At 40.0% G+C, this 4,838-nt stretch overlaps 1 protein-coding gene across 1 annotated transcript in view; it reads left to right on the top strand.

Moving 5' to 3' along the window:
* Window positions 1-4,838, top strand: part of ZHX1-C8orf76 (ZHX1-C8orf76 readthrough) — a 48,096-nt gene that overhangs the window by 25,831 nt on the left and 17,427 nt on the right. The gene's annotated exons all lie outside the window — the stretch shown is intronic.

Here is a 4,838-nt window from a genome sequence, read left to right as displayed (position 1 = left end):
CAGTGACCTTTTTTTTTTCATTTTATTAACAAAGTCAATTTTTAAAACATTGTGGTAAAATATATATCACATACTATTTGCCATTATACCAGTTTTTAAGTGTAAATTCAATGGCATTAATTATATTCACAGTGCTGCACCACCTTCACCACTTTTCCAAAAGTTTTTCATCACCCCAGACAGAAACTCGGAACCATTAAGCAATAACTCCCCATTCCTCCCAGCCCCTGGTAACCTCTAATCTACTTTTTGTCTCTATGAATTTGTGTATTCTTGATATTTCAAAGAAGTAGAATCCTAAAATATTTGCCCTTTTGTGTCTGGCTTATTTTAACTTATAATGTTTTCAAGTTCATCCATGTTTTAGCGTATATCAAGACTTTGTTTCTTTTCATGGCTGATTTATGTTTTATTGTGTGTGTGTGTGTGTGTTTGTCTGTACACGTGCACTTCCTCCCACACACATTTTGTTTATCCATGTATCTGTTGATGGAAACTTGTTTTTTTCCCGCCTTTTGGCAATTGTGAATAATGCTGCGGTGAACATTGGTATACAAGGATCTGAGTACCCATTTTCAGTTCTTTTGAGTATATCAAGGAGTAGTATTCCTGAATCATGTGGTATTCTGTGTTTAATTTGTTGAGGAACCACCAAACTCTTCCACAGTGCTAAAATGTTCTCTGAAGCATCTGTACCATTTTACGTTCCACTAGCAATATACAAGCATTCCAGTTTCTCCACATTTTTGCCAACACCTTTCATTTTCAGTTTTAAAAAGTGATTATAAGCCCAGTGCGATGGTCTGTGTCTGTAGTCCCAGCTACCAGGGAGGCTGAGGTGGGAGGATCACTTGAGCCTAGGTATTTGAGGCCAGTGAGAGCAATATAGTGAGACCCCATCTCTAAAAATAAAATAATAAAAATTATAACCATCCTAGTAAGTATGAAGTGGTGTCTCATTGTGGTTTTGATTTGTGTTTCCCTAATGATGAGTGATAATGTCATTAGGAAAATGCAAATCAAAACTACATCTTTTCACATAATTATTTGTATATCTTCCTTTGAATATATTGAAAGTTTGTTCAATCCTTTGCCCAGTTTTTAATTGGGTTGCCTTTTTGTTGCTGAGTTTTAGTTCTTTATATATTCTGGATGTTACAGCTTTATCAGATACAGTTGCTTCTTGACTTAGAATGGGGTTTGTCCTGATAAACCCATTGTAAGTTAAAATTTTTGTAAGTTGAAAATCCATTTAATACCCTGATGAACTCACCATAAACTTGAACTATCATAAACTATTACTATTTTTTGAGACAGAGTCTCTGTTGCCCAGGCTGGAGTGCAGTGGCACCATCTTAGTTCACTGCAACCTCTGCCTCCTTGGTTCAAGCGATTCTCATGCCTCAGCCTCCCAAGTAGCTGGGATTACAGGTGCCCGCCACCATGCCCATCTAATTTTTATATTTTTAGTAGAGACGGGGTTTCACCATGTTGGCCAGATTGGTCTCAAACTCCTGACCTCAGGTGATCCACCCACCTCAGCCTCCCAAAGTGCCAGGATTACAGGCATGAGCCACTGCACCTGGTCACAATCATAAATTATAAATCCATGTGTTTCTCAGTTTACTATGGGGTTAGGTTACCATGGGATTATGTGTTAGTAAATCCATCTTAAGTCCATCATAAGTTGGGGACTGTCTGTATTATGATTTGCAAATAAGTTGATCCTCATTATGGATTCTGTATATGCAAATTTGCCTACACATTAAAATGTATTTGTAACCCCCAAATCAGTATTCATAGTACTTCCTTGGTCATTCCTGCACATGTACAGAATGGCAACAAAAAGATGTTCCCAGCAAAGGTCAACCAAAGAGATGCTTTGCCTTGTTTCAGGTCTCATACTGTAGAGAAGTGTGTGTGTGTGTGTGTGTGTGTGTGTGTGTGTGTGTGTGTCCATAGGAATGAAAAAGCATCCTTTTGTAGTCTATTTAGTGCTGTGTTTTCCATATTTTTCTGCTTTCTGCAGTTTAAAATGGTCCCAAGTGTAGTGCTGAAGTGTTGTCAGTGTTTCTAAATATTAGAAGGCTGTCATGTGCCCTATGGAGAAAATATGCGTTAGATAAGCTTCATTCAGGCATGAGTTACAGTGCTGTTAGTCATGAGTTCAGTGTTAATCAATCAACAGTATTAAATAAGGTGTCTTTAAACAGAAAAATACAAAACATGGTGATGTTTTGATTGATTGATAAATATATTGTGACCAGAGGCTCCCAGGACCCTAACCCTAGGAGCATGTGTTCAGGATTTGCTAATTCAGTGTGACTTTATAGAATGTAATAACTGTGAATAATGAGAATTAGCTGTATTTTTCCCATTCTGTAGGCTGTATTTTCATTTTCTTGATAATGTCATTGATGCACAAAAAAGTTTTTAAGTTTTCCGAAGCCCAGTTTATCTATTTTTGTTGTTGTTGCTTGTGCTTTTGGTGTGATAGCTAAGAATCTATTATCAGGCTGGGCGCAGTGGCTCACACCTGTAATCCCAACGCTTTGGGAGGCCAAGGCAGGTGGATCACCTGAGGTGGAATTCAAAACCAGCCTGGCCAACATGGCAAAACCCTGTCTCTACAAATATAAAAAAATTAGCTAGGTGTGGTGGCACACTCCTGTAATCCCAGCTACTCAGTAGGCTGAGGCAGGAGAATCACTTGAACCCAGGAGGTGAAGGTTGCAGTGAGCTGAGATCGCACCACTGCACTCCAGCCTGGGTGATAAACCGAGACTCTGTCTCAAAAAAAAAAAAAAAAAAATCTGTTACCAAATTCAAGGTCATGAATAATTTTCTTCTAAGGGTTTTATGATTTTTAGCTCTTATATTTAGGTTATTAATCCATTCTGAGTTAATTTCTTAATATGGTGCGAGGCAGGGGTCCAACTTCATTCTTTTGCATGTGGTAATCCAATTGTCCTAGCATCATCTGTTGAAGCAATTATTCTTTCCCCCATTGAATGGACTTGGAACGCTTGTCAAAAACCAATTGGCTATAAATGTGTGAAGGTTTATTTCTGGACTCTTAGTTCTGTTCCATTGGTCGATATTTCTATCCTTATGCCAGTACCACACTGTTTTAATTACTGTAGCTCTGTGGTAAGCTCAGGCTAGAGAGGCCGTGTTTGGGATGTGTACAGACAAGGCAGAGAAAGCCATTCTGCCTAGACAAACAGAATAAATGAGAGTACCTAAGGTGCTAGAATATGGGGCAGGCAGAACCAGCCAGTGACAGACAGTTCTCCAAGTCTCCATGAAGCTCTGCCATTTTGTTTTTGGGGGATATTTAACAACATGTCAAATAAAGTTAACTTTGAACTGATCTGCTCACTGCCTGGGACTTTAGACAAGTTACCTCTCAGATCCTATTAATATTTCCTCATCTATAAAAATGGGAATAATAGTATCTAAACTCAGAGAGATTATGAGAATAAATAAAAACAATAGGGTGCCCATAGCATGACCTCATTATAGATGCTCAATAAGTGTTGGTTCTTTCCCTCCCCTACTTGCAGATAGGACATGAACAACTGACTTAGAACTGAGAAGTGCTCCTCTGTTCCTTTTGCCATTTCCTGGTCCTCTCTCTCTCTCTCTCTTTTTTTTTTTTTTGAGATGTAGTTTCGCTCTTGTTTCCTAGGCTGGAGTGCAGTGGTGTGATCTCAGCTCACCGCAACCTCTGCCTCCTGGGTTCAAGCGATTCTCCTGCCTAAGCCTCCTGAGAAGCTGGGATCACAGGCATGTGCCACCACGCCTGGCTAATTTTGTATTTTTAGTAGAGATGGGGTTTCTCCATGTTGGTCACACTGGTCTTGAACTCCCTATCTCAGGTGATCCGCCCGCCTCAGCCTCCCAAAGTGCTGGGATTACAGGCGTGAGCCACCTTGCCCGGCTCCTTTCTTTCATTTACCCATTCACCCATCCATTCAACAGGATTTGGATCTCCATAAATCAAAAAAACACATTTATTGCGGTGGTCTGGGCCAATCCCTGACTGGGGGCTGAGTTGACAAGAGTGAAAAAGACACCACCTCTAACCTCCAACAGTCCACAGAGTGCTAAATGCCACCGTGGATGGATAGAAGCATGGAAGAATTACAGGAAAGAAGGAGGGCTGCCTGGAGGAGGTGCTGGTTACCTTGTGATGGGGAACTCAATCAGTCACCTCAATCAAAAATCAGATTTTTATAGATAAAATTCTACAGAAACAGGTTTTAATCACAACCACACAATTTTGGATACTTGCAGAATTCCAGTTTCCTAACACTGCCTAACACTTGGCATTTCCTTAGTGTATAAGGTGGATTTAACAGTCACAGAGCATATAATACCCTTCTATTTTATTGGTTTACTTTTGAAAAATGACATTACCCTAGCGCCTCTCTATCAAATGAGGCAGTGGTGTGTAACTTGGGGTCCCAGACCCCTGGTCCTCAGTAGTGATAGGAGTCTTTGAAGTGTTTTCATTATTGCCAGAGGTCCGATGCTAATCATATTTTACCTTTCTTCAGGCTTCCCAGGGCCCTAAGAGCTGGTGCTTTGCTTTCAAGTGGAATTCTAATGTACAATGAGGCCATGCCAGTAGACTCAGGCTGGGTAGAAGTTTGGATTGGCTGTTATATAGGATCTGGATTCTATTTTTTAAAGGAAAAATAATTATTAGCTAATAAATGCAGTTTTATTTTATATAGAAATCCTCCACAACTTTCAGGGAGAAACTGAAAGGGTCATTAGTGGTAAAAAGGCTGGAAACACCCGAGCCCAGGAATCCTGAGTCTAAAGGGCAA

Source organism: Homo sapiens, chromosome 8, assembly GCF_000001405.40.
Source record: "Homo sapiens chromosome 8, GRCh38.p14 Primary Assembly".
Lineage (NCBI taxonomy): Eukaryota > Metazoa > Chordata > Mammalia > Primates > Hominidae > Homo > Homo sapiens.
This window is presented reverse-complemented; position numbering and strand designations above follow the sequence as displayed.